The sequence below is a fragment of the Homo sapiens genome, chromosome 17 (assembly GCF_000001405.40).
Source record: "Homo sapiens chromosome 17, GRCh38.p14 Primary Assembly".
Lineage (NCBI taxonomy): Eukaryota > Metazoa > Chordata > Mammalia > Primates > Hominidae > Homo > Homo sapiens.
The window spans coordinates 30,183,399-30,202,605 of record NC_000017.11 but is presented as its reverse complement, the minus strand read 5'-3'; the positions used below and the strand labels follow the sequence as shown (position 1 = coordinate 30,202,605).

Below are 19,207 nucleotides of genomic sequence, written 5' to 3'. Positions count from 1 at the left end.
TGCGCTGTAGAAATGTTAATAACAGTACCTTACAATTTGTATGAATGCCATTTTCAAAGCATCTGCATGTCGATTATCCTATTCTGTTATCAAAGTACCTTGGGAGGTAAATGGGCAGGCATTATTACCAGACAAGGACACTGAGGTGGGGAATAATCCTGCTCGAAGTTTCCTTATTTCCGGCTGGGCACAGTGGCTCACACCTGTAATCTCTGCATTTTAGGAGGCCAAGGCATGTGGATCACCTGAGGTCAGGAGTTCAAGACCAGCCTGGCCAACATGGTGAAATCCTGTCTCTACTAAAATTACAAAAATTAGCTGCGCATGGTGGCACGTGCCTGTAGTCCCAGCTACTCAGCATAATCTATAATAGCCTGAGAACGGAGGTGGGCTAATTTGAGATCTTACGCAAAATTTAGACATGAGTCCATCACAATAGTCATCCTAAGACATTTCATAAGAAATGAGAAGCAAGAGAACATAGGCAGTTAAACATCAGCTCTTTCTTTTTTTTCAGACAAGGTCTCACTCTGTACCCCAGGCTGGAGTGCAGTGGTATAATCATGGCTCACTGCAGCCTCAAACTCCTGGGCTCAGGTGATCCTTTCACCTCAGCCTCCTGACTAGCTGGGACTACAAGCGCCTGGCTAAATTTTTAAATTTTTAATAGAAACAAGATCTCACTATGTTGCCCAGGCTGGTCTCAAACTCCTGAGCTCAATCCTCCTGCCTCAGCTTCCCAAAGTGCTGGGATTGCCGGCATGAGCCACTGCACCCGGCCAAATATCAGCCCTTTCTGAGAACAACTGCGTTCATTTCTTTTTTGAAACAGGAAAACTGTATTCTGGGTGAACAGAACTCTGAGCTCCGTAGTTACTAATTTCCTACAGCCAAACCAGCCCTCTCATGACCGCACTCCCCCTAAAGAGCCTTGGGTCCCGTGCTGCTTCCCGCACACTCTCCTACCCAGAGTCATTGAACGCATTCCTTCCGGTCATCTGTCTTGGCAGTTGTGATGATCCATGAGCTCTGTTGCTTCAAATCCAGAGGCCAAGGTTGGAGGTGGGAACTGTGTTAGGTTAATAAATGTCATTCTTTAGTCACAGGCTACACCTCAGATCCTGGCCATCTTTCTCACAAATTCCCCCAGTTGGCCACAAGGGAATGCCACCCAAAAGTGTGTCACTAACAGAGCTCAGGTCTGTTAGCAATAGAGGTAAGACTAATTGTAGGTAGGGCGTCTTCACGAGGGGCCACCAGATGGGGAGCAGCGGGTTACCCGGAAGCAGTGTGATACACCCCTGTCGGTGAGGACCATGGAAAAGGCCCTAGTCGGCTCTGGCAGGTACTCATCTTATCTGGGCCTCGGTTTCCTCCTCTTTCAAATGTGCTCATTTGACCATGTTAACATTTCCCAAAGTGTGTTCCAGGGGCTGTCACAGGTATTACTGCTGGAGAAAAAGTTTATGTAGTCAGGTAATTTTTGGAGACTGCTGGACTAAGGCAAGTTAAACAGGTTTCTTGGCCGGGCACAGTGGGTCACACCTGTAATCCCAGCACTTTGGCACGCCGAGGTGGATGGGTCACCTGAGGTCAGGAGTTCGAGACTAGCCTAGCCAACATGGTGAAACCCCCGTCTCTACTAAAAATGCAAAAATTAGCCGGGTGTGGTGGCGGGCACCTGTAGTTCCAGCTTCTCAGGAGGCCGAGGCATGGAAATTGCTTGAGCCTGGGAGGCAGAGATTGCAGTGAGCTGAGATCATCGAGCCACTGCACTCCACCCTGGGCAACAGAGCGAGACTCTGTCTCAAAAAAATTAAATAAGTAAATAAACAGGTTTGTTTACCTGAGGACTTCTCAAAAAAACTTTAATATGCCCATGTGCATGTTTAATCTCTGAGAAGAATAAAGCATGCTGTGTTTTTTGCCAAAGGTCTAGAATTCTTCACAATTCTTTATGAATACCAGACTTGCTAGTCTGTAACTTTCTATGTGTGAGGGAGGGAAGCCTCATATAAAATCCTTTTGGGCCCTGGCCATATGCAAGGTTGGAGTTTGTGGAGTGAGCCACCGCTTACTGGTGTAATTTGAAGGGTACCATACACACCCACGGTCTGGAAGTCTTGCGGTTGGAGTCATCCACTGGCTTAGGTCATTTTTGCAGAAACTACTAATAATCCACCCAAAGATACTGGAAAATGGTCCCTAATGAGTACACGTTTATGAAGATATGAAGAGGAATCCATTTCTTAGATTAACTTGTTATCATCTTGCAGAAGGCCAGGCAGGGCCTGGCAAATTTCCAGCACAACGGTAGCCTGGCAACTAGAATGCTGGCAAAGCACGGAAAACAGACGTGGGCCTGGCATCCTGGGTGGTCAGTCACCAACAGGGCAGCAGCCCATGTGGGTAGGTAAGGGCACAAAAACCAAGTGTTTGACTTTATGACGTCGTTCATTGCGGGCCTTGCCCCACCAAACACCTCGGTGATCTCTTCTCTCTCTGAGCTATGGTGATAGCTCCACTTAAGACAAGTTCTAATAGTTGAGCATCGTACCATGCACCTGTAGGTCCAGCTACTTGGGAGGCTGAGGCAGGAGGATCCCTTGAGCCCAGGGGTTCAAGACTGCAGTGAGGCATGATTGTGCCACTGCACTCCAGCCTGGGCAACAGAGCAAGACCCTGACTCTTAAAAAAAAAAAAAAAGGACTCGTTATAGTGATCTCTGTCTAGTTCTCAACTAACAAGCCATAATTCTGTTTAATCAGGTATAGTTCACATGTTAGTCTGTGGGAATGCATGGTTTCTGACAAGTTGCTTTCCGTGACTCGGCATGCTCTGGTAGCTGATGACTCCTTTTTAAACGGATGACTCCTTTTTAAACTCCCTGCAATGACTCCTTTTTAAACGGATTTCTAGTGTGAAAGTTCAGTACACAGATACTAAGGTCATGAGGAGCACAAAATGTGCAATTTTGTGCATTTTGCCCTATAGTGCATTTCATTAACTGTAGGACTGGAACTTTTTGAATTATAGAGGCCCTATTTCTTAAAGAACAAACTCCCAGAATGAGAAAATAGAAAAGCTTGAAGGCAACTCCAGACATTTTCAGTCCAAAATAAAAATGACAGGGGCAGAACTTCACCTAAAGATCAGTAAATCAAAGGATGCTTTCAGATCCAAATTGTCTGCTTATGATACATACAGACTTTTGGCCAACAAAGATTTTATTAAGCAACTTAATAAAGATTTTTCAAAGCCTCTGCAGTGTGGCTGTTTTTTTTTTTTTCTCCTCTATATCCCTGAGCTGCTTTTTGCCACTCTGATGCTGAGTTTTACAAGGCCAGTTGTATATTTCACACCTAAGCCCAAGTATATTTCAGATCCATCTTAAAGCTTCTGTGTACCTCAGCTGTTTCTATAGTAGACCTTCTCAGCCACTTCTCTGTGATGAGTACTACATCAACACAATGTTGCATTAGAAGTGATGATTTCAATAATCGCATCTTTTACAGTTTAACTATGTGATAATTTATACTCTCATATGAACTAACCAGTATTGCTTTACAGGTGAATTCATTAAATTAGTAACATCCTGGCTGTTACAGTGGCTGATAGCACTGGGCAGTATGGCTGCAGTGTGTCTGCAGGAGACAAGGAGCCTGGGTGAGGGGATGGGGGCCAAAACCCAGCAATTACTCTGCTCCCCAAGCCCTTTGTGGCCGCAGAAGTCTCCTCTGTCCAGAGAAAAGGGTACCCTTTCCCAAGTCCTTCAAAAGCATGTTATTGGCCAGCAGAGATTCTGTTGAAGGCTCATCATTTTCTTCCATTAGTGTTATAATGATTTTCTTAGTTTACAGATGTGTATAGTTTCTGAATATACCATTTTAATTCATATTTGAGAATACATAAATTGGGAATTCTTTTCCTAAGGAATGTCAGTGAGACTATTCCAACTCGCTCTTAGATGTTATTAAAGTGTTATTTAAGCTTTGTTTTAATATTAATGTTGACTATTTTTGCAAGTTTTAAAAATTACAAGGATGTTTATAACATTGTATTTTCTTCCCAATAGCGTATTATTAAAAGTATTACCCCAGAAACACCAACAGAAATTCCTTGTGGGGACATCCGCTTGAATGCTGTGTAACACACTCACCGAGAGGAAAAAGGCTTCTCCACAACCTCCTCCTCCAGTTCTGATGAGGCACGCCTGCCTTCTCCCCTCCAAGTGAATGAGTTTCCAGCTAAGCCTGATGATGGAAGGGCCTTCTCCACAGGGACACAGTCTGGTGCCCAGACTCAAGGCCTCCAGCCACTTATTTCCATGGATTCCCCTGGACATATTCCCATGGTAGACTGTGACACAGCTGAGCTGGCCTATTTTGGACGTGTGAGGATGTGGATGGAGGTGATGAAAACCACCCTATCATCAGTTAGGATTAGGTTTAGAATCAAGTCTGTGAAAGTCTCCTGTATCATTTCTTGGTATGATCATTGGTATCTGATATCTGTTTGCTTCTAAAGGTTTCACTGTTCATGAATACGTAAACTGCGTAGGAGAGAACAGGGATGCTATCTCGCTAGCCATATATTTTCTGAGTAGCATATATAATTTTATTGCTGGAATCTACTAGAACCTTCTAATCCATGTGCTGCTGTGGCATCAGGAAAGGAAGATGTAAGAAGCTAAAATGAAAAATAGTGTGTCCATGCAAGCTTGTGAGTCTGTGTATATTGTTGTTTCAGTGTATTCTTATCTCTAGTCCAATATTTTGGGCCCATTACAAATATATGAATTCCCCAAATTTTTCTTACATTAACAAATTCTACCAACTCAATTGTGTATGGAGGTTATTATTTGAAGGGTACAATCACTACAACATGCTCTGCCACCCACTCCTTTTCCAGTGACACTACTTGAGCCACACACTTTCCTTTACAGGCCAGCCTCTGGCGTTTGCTGCACCTCATTGCCACCTTCCTGTCTCTCTGTGCTAAACATTCAGGACAGTGTTCCACAGGCAGATCTGGCCTATTTCATTAGTCACCATGGCTTGGCTGTGAAGTACGTTGAAGGTGGATCTTGTCACATGCCCCTTCAGTGTTCACCTGGCCCTCTGGTTTAAGTTCTGTCTGCCTTACGTGACTGAGTTTGACTGTCCAGGTTGCTTTGCTCGGTGAAGAGAGGAGGGTAAATCGGATTCTCGTTTAGCACTGGGTTATACAGATCTGGCACCCTAACCTAAACCAAGGCATCTTCACTCCAAGAGCAGTTGGAGAGTCTGGGTTAGCCTTACGTGGACCTCGCCGCTCGCTGGCGGTCACGATTGTGAGCCCTCCAGATAATTTTTAAGGTTGAGTCTAAGTAAGGCTGCTTGGGAAATGGTCAGCTAAGTAAATCACCTTTCATTTCACATAAGGCCCTTAATATAGATAAGTAAATTTGGCCTTTGGTGTCTCGTGACTCTCAGAGGCGTAGGTAGAGGAGCAAATTAATATTTGCAGCATGGGAATTCCTTATCAGAATTTTGAGGGGAATAAATCCTCATCAGAGACAAAAGGACTTAATCATCTGGCCACCTATCACTTCAGTTCTCTGTATAAATGAAATTTAATTCTAACAACCTTATAAAAAGAAGGTCCAGACAGCAGAGGAAACATCCTGTCCAATTCTAGGTTTTCCTCCCTTGGCCTCCTTTCCCCAGCATTGTCTACCCTGGCCCACTTCCTGCATTCTCCCCATGCCCTGCTATTTCTGATTCTTTGCTTCTCCTAGCGAGATACTTTCCTTATATGATAGCTGCTGAGAAGTTTCCCAGAACTGCTAGAGGAAAAGAAGTGGGGAATTTAGGAAATATCCCTCACTGACCTAACTCCATTATCTTCACTCTTTCCTTCTTCCTGCCACCTCATGCCCATTCTCTTTACTGTCTAGCATGCTGAAAGAAGGAAGTGATCTAAATGCCAGCGTGTTCAGTGGTAAATATTAGTTGGTGCAAAAGAAAAACCATGATTACTTTTGCACTAACCTAATAGCTTTGCAAATTTTAAGAACTTGCTTTATGAAGATATTCGGATATGGATTCTCCCCACCCCACATACTTAGACATTGTTCAAATATACTACTTTTAAAAAAACACCTTTTCAAACAGAATTAGCGTTTTGCCAAGTCTGGTATTAATGGAATTGTACAGGAGCTTTGAAAGTTTTCAAACTTTATTAAACTAAAAAAAAAAAATCGAAAATCTCTGTCTGTTCCGCATAGTATGCATTTATTTGACCCCTATTTATCAATACTATGATGGGGTTTTTTTTTTTTAAAGAAAATTTAAGAGTAGGTAGGTGGATTTTAAAATAATATTTTAAAGACCTTTTATATCTATATGTAGCATTTATAGAAAAATAAAAACTAAAAATAGAATTGAATTGTAACATTATTTAAGGACTGAAGTTTTTTTTCTTGTATCAGTAAGAAATACCCAAGAGGCTGGGTGCAGTGACTCACACCTGTAATCCCAGCACTTTGGGAGGCTGCAGTGGGAGGATCACATGACATCAGGAGTTTGAGACCAGCTTGGCCAACATAGTGAAACGCCGTCTCTATTAAAAATACAGAAAATTAGCTGAATGTGGTGGCAGGCGCCTATAATTCCTGCTACTTGGGAGGCTGAGGCAGGAGAATTGCTTGAACCCAGGAGGCAGAGGTTGCAGTGAGCCAAACGTTCCACTGCATTCCAGCCTGGATGACAAGAGCGAAACTCCGTCTCAAAAAAAAAAAAAAAAATTGTTATGCTTAGTTCCATGGAAAGACTATTCTGAAGCTTTAAGTCTTCTTTTTCTATTTTCCATAGTATTGCCCCTTCCCCACTTCATTGCTTAACTGTCTCTAAATTTTAATGATAATAATATTTTAAAGGTCAGATAATGCCATTAGAGGCAGAGACAAACCTGGGGACCAAGCTAATTTCTCTGTTATTGAGAGCGCTAAAGACAGGTGAACTGGAGTTTTATTTCCTCTGCTAGAGTGAAATAATACCCTCTCCACCAGGCACAATGGCTCACACCTGTAATTCCAGCACTTTGGGAGGCCAAGGTGGGCGGATCACTTGAGGTCAGGAGTTCGAGACCAGCCTGGCCAACATGGTGAAACCCCATCTCTACTAAAAATACAAAAATTAGCCAGCCATGGTGGCATGCTCCTGTAATCCCAGCTACTTGGGAGACTGAGGTGGGATAATCACTTGAACCTGGGAGGCGGAGGTTGCAGTGAGCTGAGATTGTGCCACTGCACTCCAGCCTGGGTGACAGAGCAAGACTCCATCTAAAAAACAAAAACAAAAACAAAAAAACCCTCTCAATTGGTTTAATACCACGATAGAAAAGATAAATATTTTAGGATGGAATCTTAAATATGTCTGTCCTTTTGTTTCATATAGTTGAAATCAATTCAGTATTGTTTCTACATTAGGTGTTTCAAAAACAGTCACCTTTGCAACAGAAGAGCTCTTTTGTTGAAAATGATTCACAATATATTTCAGTTGGAATGTCAGGTGGTATTTCTCTTACCAACACCTCACAGAATCTATGCCAAGCTGCTCTACCACCAATGCAAGTATTTTTTTAAAGCTACTAAAATAAACTTTCTTCACCAGCCAACTCTAATTTGGAGACAGTGTGCATTGGTGAAGGACCTCGTCAGAATAAGTTTGAATGTCTACTGAACTAAGAAGAATTTTGTCGTTTGGGGGAGAGAATAGATGGCATCAGTCCTTCAATTCTGTAACTGAAGACTCCAATTATAGTAGATAAGAATTGTGTCTAGCAATTTTTAAACACTGACAGTCCAAACAAAAATATTTGGTGAGGAAGGATGTCCCATATTTTTGCTTAAATATCATAAACAAATATGAGCATTTACTAATTTTTTAAATGGCATTTTGAAAGATTATTCTTATTTACACTCTAAAATTAAAGGTGTACTTTATCTTAAGAAAATGATATATTAAAAATTCATATTTTAAAAGATAAAATTGGGGAATTTACAGTTATTTTGTGAATGGCCTTTAAACTATGATTTGATCTATATACAACTTTTCAGAATACTTTTGATTGTGTGTTGGACATATCTAAAATTAATTTTATCTGGCAGAATTAAACCTAAATTTATTTGTATAAAAGAGTCCCCTTTCTAAAATTCATACAGTGCCCTTGTATTCATTTATGCAGTGTTTATAAATATTTCAAGTTAGATTGTGAGATATTAATAAATGATTTATGCTGTGAACTGTTACTGTAATAACTCTTAATATCATGATTTGTTGTATCATTAAAAAAACACAAAATTCTAAACTCTTAAGGTTAAAAATCTTAACCTTATAGTCAAAATATTTAAACATCTCCCTAAACATCACTGCATAGCACTTACAAAAACTACATTGAATTAGATGTATTCAATTTCCATAAAGTTAAATAAGTTAATATAATTCTTTGTAATTTGTGAAGAGCTTTAGTTTATAATGTTCTTCCCCATATATTTCATGGGATCACCAGAAGTCTAGGTGACAGCTGTATTTTCCCAGGTGAGGATGGGGCTGGGATGAAGAGCCTGAAGCTCAAAGAGGCTGATTGATTTGCCCAAGTTCACACACCTGGAACGTTCCAGGACAGGCTTTATGCCTATAGGTTTTCTAATTCCAGCCCAAAGGTTATTTACATGTTTAGCTTTAAAATTAGCATCCATAGAGGCTTGAGAAATCCAAAGAGTATTCAACTGCAGAATGGGTTTTTTTCTAAACTGCAAGGATGTTCTATCTCATTTTAAAGTGTGATAGGGAAGAATAATTAACATAGGGGAAGAACCTGTTACTGATATATCATTACATGTGTGCTGTCCCCAGCCAGAGACAGCAGCAGTCCCCAGCCTTTTTGGCACCGGGACCGGTTTCATGGAAGAAAATTTTTCTACGGATAGTGGGGAGCAGAGGGGTATTTCAGGATGAAACTATCCTACCTCAGTTCATCAGACATTAGATTCTCATAAGAAGCACACAACCTAGATCCCTCGCATGCATAATTCACGACAGGGTTCACACTCTTGTGAGAATCTAATGCTGCCGCTGATGGGACAGGAGGTGAAGTTCAGGTGGTAATGAGCTGTGTGGTCCAGTTCCTAACAGACCTCCTGCCCTACAGTTAAAGACTCTCCAGTTACCATCACCACACTAAATCTAATCCTTGTACTAGATTCAAATTATCTGATTTACATTGACTTGTTTAAAGAGGTATTAAGGTAGGGATTCCCAAAATAAAGGATAACATAAGCAAAAGACGGGTGACAAAAAGAAAGAAAAACAAGAGCGAGAAAATAAAATGGGACCAGAAATGAGGCTACATGTCACACCAGAATGACTTTCACATGTGCTGTTGGTATGCCACAAATCTGATCCTAGGCTTCATTAGAGATAACTGTTGCATCCAGTTATGAGATGCCATTTATTATCACTAAGGCTTAGTGGTCACTCTGGGTCCTGCTGCTTTTCCAGGGATATTGCTATTATTTAAAATAAATGCTAATGTTGTCAGTGCTTTATAGAGAGGGCAACTCCAGTATTAAAGTGTAATATTTCAATTACAGGAATCTCTTTGGAGTCTCAGCTCCAGTTTTGGAACATATCACTAAGTAATAACTAAAGATCTCAAAATGATTACCAGTATTTTTTTTTACACACTTTTTTTTTTCTTTCTTTTTTTTAGACAAAGTGTCCTGTCACCCAGGCTGGAGTGCAGTGGCGTGATCTTGGCTCACTGTAGCCTTGACTTCCTGGACTCAAGTGATCCTCCCACCTCAGCCTGCTGAGTAGCTGGGACTACAGGCATGCACCACCATGACTGGCTAATTCTTTGCATCTTTAATAGAGACCGAGTTTTGCCATGTTGCTCAGGCTGGTCTCATACTCCTGGGCTCAAGCAATCTGCCCACCATGGCCTCCCAAAGTACTGGGATTACAGGCATAAGCCACTGCACCCAGTGACATGGTTTTTATAAACTAAAAAATTCAATATGTAAAATGGTGGAGAGGATAGTTAATGCTGAGATCTGAATAAATGGACTTGAATAAAAAGTAGAATATATCTTATAGATTCTAACTACAAAAATGAAAATGAGACATGTATCTCTGACAAATGAAGACATTCTCCTACATAACCACAATTAAACCATCATAGTTAGGAAAGTAACACTGCTGCATGACTGTCAACTCATCTTTAGACCCTGTTCAATGATCTTTAGGAAAAAGGATCTAGTCCAGAATCATTTTCATTTAATTTCACGTCTCTTTTGTTTTCTTCAGTCTAGAACCGTTTTCCAGTCTTTCCTTGACTTTCACAACCTTGAAGCCTTTGATGTTAATAGGCAAGTTATTCTGTAGAATGTCCCTCAATTTGATTTGTTTGAAGATCAATTCCTGCTGATTAAATCCAAGCTATGTATTTCTGGCAGGACTATCACTGGAATGGTGCTGTGTTGTTTTCCCTGCATCCTACCAGGTGGAGAATGATTTTGATTTGTCCCCTCACTGGTGATGTTAACTTCAATCACTTGGTTAAGGTGGTGTCTACCGGGCTTTCCACTATAAAGTTCCTTTTCTTTTTGTCATTAATATTTTGGGGGATGGAGTTATTCTGACACTGTGCAAATATCCTGTCCTCATCAATCCATTTATTTTTAAAAATAGATTCCTGTTTTATCCAATGGATTATAATCAATTTTATTCATTTATTCATTCATTCATTTTTTTGAGACAGGGTCTCGCTGTGTCGCCCAGCCTGGAGTACAGTGGTGTGATCACAGCTCACTACAGCCTCGACCAGGCTCAACTGATTCTCCTGCCTCAGCCTCCTGAGTATCTGGGACCACAGGCACATACCACCATGCCTGGCTAACTTTCGTATTTTGTGTAGAGACAGGGTGTCACCATGTTGCCCAGGCGGTTCTCCTGTGCTCAAGCAATCCTCCCACCCTGGCCTCCCAAAGTGCTGGGACTACAGGCATGAACCACAGCACCTGCCCCCATTATTAATTTTGATGCTCAATTTTTCCTATATTTAGCCAGTGAGAGTCCCTTCAAGCTGGTTTCTGTGTGCTTTTGACATGTCCCCATCATTCTTGGAACAGTTCCTTGTTTTCCAGAGTGAGATGTTTCGGGACCAGCTTGTACTTTCTCTGCCACAGCTCTGAAATCAGCTATATCTCCAAGAAGCCCTGGTTCCTTTTAGTCAAGAGCATATTTAGAAACCACGATCTGGGTGTTAGGTATTCTCATGGCTACTGAGTTGTCACTGATCCTCAGCCCTCTCACTGGATAGAAGTGTATACATAATTTGCATTTAATAGTTATTTCTCTATCTTAAAAACCATGAGGTCACACCAATATCTCCAATTCCAACCCAACACTACAAAGTTCATTCTAATTTTCTTCCTTTCCATATTTATAACCCCTTTTACCACCTACCCATGTATTTTTAATATAGTTTTGCCTTTTTTCCCCTATATATATATATTACTTCTTCTCACAAGACTGAAATTCATCCAAGTTGGGTATAGCTCTAGTGTATTCATTTAACTGTTGTATTGCCTATGTGTGTGTGTGTGAATATATATATATATATATTTTGACAGTCTTGCTCTGTCGCCCAGGCTGGAGTGCAATGGCGTGATCTCAGCTCACTGCAACCTCCGCCTCCTGGGTTCAAGTGATTCTCATGCCTCAGCCTCCTAGTAGCTGGGATTACAGGCACGCACCACCATGCCTGGCTAATTTCTATTTCTTGTATTTTTAGTAGAGACAGGGTTTCGCCATGTTGGCCAGGCTGGTCTCGAACTCCTGAGCTCAGGCAATCTGCCCACCTTGGCCTCCCAAAGTGCTAGGATTACAGGCGTGAGCTACCACGCCTAGCTATATATTCTTTACTACTGATAGAGATTTAGGTTGTCATTTATTGAAAATGTATTATAGATATTCCTGGTGCATCTGTGGAACACGAGTTACAGGAAACATGCAGTGTCAATTACTAGGTAAAGCCAAACTTTTCCCAAAAAGGTTGTGCCAGTTCACCTATTACTAGTAGCACACAAAAATTACTATTGCTGCTGGATGCAGTGGCTGACGCCTGTAATCCCAGCACTTTGGGAGGTTAAGGCAGGCAGATCATATGAGGCCAGTTCAAGATCAGCCTGGCCAACATGGCAAAACCCTGTTTCTACTAAAAATACAAAAATTAGCCGGGCGGGGTGGTGTACGTCCGTAACCCCAGCTACTCGGGAGGCTAAGGCAGGAGAACTGCTTGAATCCGGGAGGCAAAGGTTGCAGTGAGCTGAAATTGCATCACTGCACTCTAGCCTGGGCGACAGAACAAGACTATCCTAAAAAAAAAGAGAGCCAGGCATGGTGGCTCACACCTATAATCCCAGCACTTTGGGAGGCTGAAGAGGGCAGATCACGAGGTCAGGAGATCGAAACCATCCTGGCCAACAAGGTGAAACGCCGTCTCTACTAAAAATAGAAAAAATTAGCTGGGCGTGGTGGCAGGCGCCTGTAGTCCCAGCTACTTGGAAGGCCGAGGCAGGAGAATGGCGTGAACCCGGGAAGCGGAGCTTGCAGTGAGCTGAGATCGCGCCACTGCACCCCAGCCTGGGCGTCAGAGCGAGACTCCATCTCAAAAAAAAAAAAAAAAAAAAAAAAAAAAAAAATACCGTTGCTTCGCATCCTCATCAACACTTCGTATTATGTCTCTTAACATTTTGTCATCCTTGTGAATGAGTAATGGTATTCACTGTGGTTTTAATCTGAACAAATAGTCACTCGCTGCTGAGTCTATTTGATATCCATATGGAGAAAAATCTTAACCCCTATCTTACACCACAAACAAAAATTAATTCCAAGTGCACTGTAGATCTAAATGGGAAATGTAGGCAATAATGCTTCTAGAAAATGTTGTCCAGTATAACTTTCTGCAGTAGAAATGTTCTATAAACCTGCACTGTCCTATGTGGCAGCCACCAGCCACATGTTGAGCATTCGAAATGTCTAATGCAACTGAGGAACTGTATTTTAAATTTTATTAATTTTAATTAACTTTGTAAAATTAGAGATATCTGTTCATTAAAAATACCATTAAGAGTGAAAAGGTAAAGCCATAGAGGGGAGGGAGAAGTTCCTTACAAATAACTCGTACCTAGAATATCTGAAGAACCTGTACTGGGGCCAGGCAAGGTGGCTCATGCCTGTAATCCCAGCACTTTGGGAGGCCGAGGCGGGCAGATCACCTGAGGTCGGGAGTTCGAGACCAGCCTGACTAACATGGACAAACCCCATCTCTACTAAAAATACAAAATTAGCCAGGCGTGGTGGCAGGCGCCTGTAATCCCAGCTACTCGGGAGGCTGAGGCAGGAGAATCGCTTGAACCTGGGAGGTGTAAGTTGCTGTGAGCCGAGATCATGCCATTGCACTCCAGCCTGGGTAGCAAGAGCGAAACTCCATCTCAAAAACAAAACAAAACAAAACAAAACAAAACCTGTACTGGATTAAGGAAAAGGCAGATAGTTCCCCTCCACACCCCCCTCAAAAAAAAAAAAAAAAAAAAAAGCAGGGAGTGGAAAGGTAGTTAATGCCTGTAATCTCAGCACTTTGAAAGCTGAGGCAGGCGAAATTGCTTGAGCCTAGGAGTTTGAGACCAGCCTAGACAACATAGTAAAACCCCGTCTCTACAAAAAATTAGCCAGGCGTGGTGGCATGCAGCTACAGTCCTAGCTATTTGGGAGGCTGAGGTGGGAGGATCACTTCACCCTGGGAGGTCAAGGCTGCAGTGAGCCATGATTGCATCACTGCACTCTAGCCTGGGTGACAGAGAAAGACCCTGTCTCAAAAACAAATACCAACCCCCGCCAAGATACCCAAATGTTAAATGTTAATAAAGATGTGAGAGCCATCAGGGAACCACAAAATAAAACCATGAGATACCACAACACCTACCAGAGTAGCTAAAAGACAAAAAGCCAGAAGACAAATACCAAGGGTGAGCAAGATGTGGGGCAACTGGAACTCTCATACATTGATGGAGGGAGTGCCTTTTAGTTCAAATATTCTGGAAAACTAATTGGTAGTTAACTACTAAAGCTCAACATGAGCATACCCTATGAATCAGCAATTCCATTCCTCAGAATTACCCAACCAAAACATACATGTATGTACTAGATGACAAGCGCAAGAATGTACCTAGAAGATACATTACCTAGAAGATATTATTATTCATAACCCCAAAAAGAAATAACCAATGTCCATCAACAGAATGTAGTAGTAAAGAATCTACAAAACAAGCAAAACTACTCTAAGGTGCTAAAAATCAGAAAGAGTAGGCTGGGAGAGAAGTTTAAGGGGAGCTCCTATGGCACAGGTAATGTCTTTTTAAACTAGGTGTACTGTGTGAATCCATTAAGCTGTAAACTCCATGTGCAATTTAAACCTTATACTACAACAAAAAAATTTACTAAGAGTGTTCTGGTAACTTTTGGCACAGAGCTATCATGAATGGAACCTTGTATCAAATAGGACTTTTTGGGTTGTGACAGCAGAAATCCAATTCAAACTAACCTAACAGAAAAAGGGAAAAGTATTGGTTTAAATGTCTTAAAAAAAAAAAAAAAAAAAAAAAAAAAAAGCTACACTAGAGCCAGAGATGCAAAAGCAATCATCAGGTTTTTTGTTCTTCTCTCTGTCTGGCTTTCTTGTTGTGGGTTTTTTTTCTGCCAGGCAGCAAGGCACTCTCCATGAAACTCCAGACTTACCTCATCGCCATAATCAGCAATGACAACAGAAAACATCTTTCTGTAAATTCTGACAACATGACCAGCATCAGCCTAGCTTGAGTCACATACCCTTACTGTAGGCTATTCTGCCCCATTTGAACCCGTGGACTAAGAGTAGTAAAGGTGTGTTTTCTCAAAGGCAAATCCTGCTGTTACCAGGAAAAGGGGGAATGAATACCAGAGAGGCAAAACCAACATTCTGTATATTTGGAGGAGACAGAAGAAAACTCTTCATTTGCAGTCTCTCATCCTGATTTATGTCAAATTAAGTTGGTTAATAAAAGTAATTTATAGCTTTCCTATCTAAGGATCCAAGCGGCTTTGTAAAAGTCTCTGAGCTTTTCCCTCTGGGAGAGGGAAACTGAGTTTATCATCAGATGTCTCTGACATCAGTCTCTCCTCCTAGACTACCTTGCACACTACGATCAAATTAATCTTCCCAATGCATGGCTCTAGTTATAAAACAATCCCAAGAAAGAAACCATACTCCCCACCAAAGTTAAAGATTTTTTCTGTCACTCATGGTCCTTCCATGATGTCACCCTTTTACCTTTCCATACTGATGTTATGTTGCTCCCTTTTTGTACACCAAGTCAGTGATTTTGGGGGTTTGTCACTGTCACTGATTGACTTTAGAGTATTAGGATGTAACTGACATTTAATCTATCAGTCAGAGATTTGGGCGTTAACTTTCCTGTGACTTTTCCTTTCTGGTTTTAAAGGTACAATAAAATGATTTATAAATTCTAAATCTGACCCTTAATATATTTCATCTAGTCAGCATTCTTATTAAACCAAGTTTATCCTTCTAAAAATAAGAAAGTGTGCTCTTTAGGTAGAGTATTGTGAGATATATGAACAGCATTTTCTTAATGGGAAGACCTAGTAGAGAACTATTTTCTCCACAGCATTCATCTTTCCCCATAAATAAAATATTTACAGTGTATAATTATTTCTCCTGAGTTTCAAAGACTCAGAAGAAAGATACTAGTTTTATTTTTATACACAAGTGGAACTTGTAATAAACTGCACTATCTTTTTCAGAGTAGGTGAAACAAGACATGTTTAGAAACAGGCCACCTAGATCTTTAGCTAATTTCATTTAGGCTAATGTCTCCACAGCTTCACCTTTAACTAAAAGTGATTTACATATATAACCAATTTACTAACTTGTCAAGGTTTCAGAATTACAAATTAATTTCTACTAAAAGCGAAAAGATGAATTGTGACATGAGTAAAATTATTTTAAAATAAATGCATAAATAAAATGTATAAGCATATCATTTTATTTTCATTTAAGCCAACTATGCTGTAAGCTATTTAGACAAGATGATTCACATTTTATACTTAAATACAAATTTCAGAACATAAAGTATATTTTCTGTTTTTCAAATCCATATTTTATCTGAAATACATTTCCTGCAACAAAACATTATTAGAAGAGTTAAATTATTTATTTAAAAAAAATTTTTTAGAGACAGGGTCTCATTCTGTTGCCCAGGTTGGAGTGCAGTGGCATGATCATACCTCACTGTAACATCAAATTCCTAGGCTCAAGTGATCTTCTTGCCTCAGCCTCTCGAACAGCTGGGACTACAGGCATGGACTACCATGCTAGGCTTTTTGTTTTTTAAATAGAGACAAGGTCTTATTATCCTGCCTAGGCTGGTCTTGAATGCCTAGCCTCAATATCCTTCTGCCTTGGCCTCCCAAAATGTTGGTATTACAGGCACGAGCTACCGTATCTGGCCAAAATTATTTTTTAATGGTTGTAGTGGAGCAAATTTTCCTCATTATGTACCTACAGGGAATTAGCACACTCTTAACGGTTCTTGAATACAACAAAGAATGTGGTATTGATGAGTACACACTATATATAAATTCAGCCAAACATCCACATCCAAACATCCAAGCTGTAAGACTGACTTTTAACTTAAAATTTTGAAAATAAATTTAAAAATGCCCTCCAAACTACTGGTAACACACTCCTTTATGGTTTTACGCAGCAGGTTCCAGGAATTACAGTTTTCTGTGCTTCCTTAAATCTTTCTCTTGGGGTAGCCATCAATCATCTTCTTTCTCAATATAGGTCTTTGCATTAACCCGCGCCATCTGCCTGGCCAAGTACCTGTCTCTAGCTGACATTACAGTTTCTTCATTGTTCCGCTTTGCAAACTTGCTCACTGCCTCAGGTGGTCTCTCTTGTTCTTTACCCTTCTCTTGCCCTTCCTCTGTGAGTCTGTGTTTTGCTCCCAGTGATGATTCAGAATTAGAGGGTTTCTCTTGGTTTCTTTCTTTGTCCTTTGCCATGTTTCTCATTTTGTTGGATCTTTCTTGGTCAAGAAATTTATCCTTTGCCCTAGAATTTGGGCTGCTTTCCTTTCTGTCTTGATTTCTTTCTGAAGACTGAACACCTACCTCTCGTTTTTCTCTATCTCTGTATTTATCATTATTTTCATATCTTTCCTTCCTTACTTTCATATGCTCTTCCTTTGCTTTGCTTTTCTCTTCCTTCTCTCCTTTCTCACTGGGTCGGTTCTGATCATTTTGTTGTCTATCTCTTTCTTGTTCTCTTTGGGAATATTTCTCCCTATCTTTCTCCCTTTTCCATACTCTGTCACTTCTTTCTCTTTGGTCCCTCGCCCTTGGTTTATCTTCCTGTTCATGCCTCTTCCAATGGGAATCTCTATGACTGGCCTCTCTGTGCCTATGAGAATCCCTTTCTTTCCGGTAATCACGGTCAGTGTAATGGTTCTCTTGGTCTCTGGATTGCTTCTGCTGGTGCTGATCTTCCCTTTTCTCATGTCCTCTCGACGTTCGTGATCCTTTCGTGTGGTGCCTGGTACTGTGCCCTCTTTCTTCACTAGGTGACCGAGAGTGGTTTTGACTCCTGTGGTGCTTGAAGTCATTCTCAGGGGTCTCTATGACCTTTTCCCTTCTGCAGTTCACTCTAGTTTCTTCTATTTCATCATCCGCACTGCTCTTAGCATCGAAGTCACTGTCTGCATCTGGGTTTTCCTCTACTTTCACATCAGTTTGAAGAATGCATTTCTCTTGTGGTATTCTGTTTTTTGAACTTACTTCATTGGAGAAGCCCCTTGATTTTTCTTCCTTTATACCAGATCTTAGAAACAAAAAACAAAAAAGGGCAGAAAAAAATGCCACATTATCAGTTGTAATAAGCAAATGAAGGGTTCATATAATTTTTATCAATACTCAAATCAATACACCTATAGTGATATATACTGTCTGATTATCCAAATGCAAAAAGGTCCTGATGTCTATGCAAACTAGTATTTTCAAATTCATACCATTCAGAATATTTTCAATATTTGTAGAAGTGAAAAGAGAAAATTAGCCCTTGTCTACTATACTACTAGAACCTACAGGCAAGGGTCTGTACAGGTCTTCATTTTTTGGTAAGCCTAAGACAAAGAATAATTGGGAAAAGTAATAAATGTTCTGAATCTAAGTTCTATTTTCACAACATGAAGCTTAAGTTGTGACTGTTGGATTTGTTGTTTCCTTTCTTATTTATTTATTTTGAGACATTCTGTTACCCAGGCTGGAGTGCAGTGGCACAATCTCGGTTCACTGCAACCTCTGCCTCCCAGGCTCAAGTGATCCTCTCACCTTAGCTTCCCGAGTAGTTGGGATTACAGGCCTGCACCACCATGCCCAGCTAATTTTTGTATTTTTAGTAGAGACAGGGTTTTGCCATGTTGGCCAAGCTGGTCTCAAACTCTTGACCTCAGGTGATCCAACCACCCTGGCCTCCCAAAGTGCGGGGATTACAGGTGTGAGCCACCATGCTTGGCCTTTTTCTTTTTAAAAAATTATAAAAATAGTCCTAGAAATACATGAAGATAATCTTTGCACAGCAAAATAGTGGCAAATATAATCCTAAATATTTACTCTCTCTCATGAGTGTATCCTGATTCACTCCTTGGCACCTATCACAACAAAATGGAAATATATTAATTTGTCCATTAGAATCAACAATACTAAAATTATATTACCTTCATTGTTCCAGCTGGCAAGTACAGTTAACTTTATAGTATGAGTATAATGTAAATAAGAACCACTCAGTGATTCTTACTAATCACTTACTAATCACACTAATGGTGCAACAACTTTGGTTCTCCAGGAATTACTGGCAGAACTATCTTGGCTAAAGGACCCACTAACAGTTAGGAATTCGATTATTAGACTCTAAGAAGTACAACTATGTCAACGACATTACAGAGTTTCATGGCAGCCTAATAAATATTCCAGATGAAACTCTAATACAAAGATATAACGTAATATAATTTCCATTCAAAACCTGAATCTTCAAATAC

At 40.6% G+C, this 19,207-nt stretch overlaps 2 protein-coding genes across 10 annotated transcripts in view; one reads left to right on the top strand and one right to left on the bottom strand.

Moving 5' to 3' along the window:
* SLC6A4 (solute carrier family 6 member 4) overlaps positions 1–8,287 on the top strand; it is a 41,379-nt gene extending 33,092 nt beyond the window's left edge. Inside the window, exon 15 of the mRNA NM_001045.6 lies at positions 4,076–8,287. Coding sequence (NP_001036.1) covers positions 4,076–4,150 — 75 coding nt within the window. The 3' untranslated portion in view covers positions 4,151–8,287. The remainder of the gene's footprint in view (positions 1–4,075) is intronic.
* Positions 16,131–19,207, bottom strand: part of NSRP1 (nuclear speckle splicing regulatory protein 1) — a 69,660-nt gene continuing 66,583 nt past the window's right edge. For all 9 annotated transcript variants that reach the window (XM_047436916.1, XM_047436918.1, XM_011525345.3 and 6 more), the window contains one exon: positions 16,131–17,991. In XM_047436916.1, the coding sequence (XP_047292872.1) occupies positions 16,932–17,991 (1,060 nt within the window). In that variant the 3' untranslated portion in view covers positions 16,131–16,931. The remainder of the gene's footprint in view (positions 17,992–19,207) is intronic.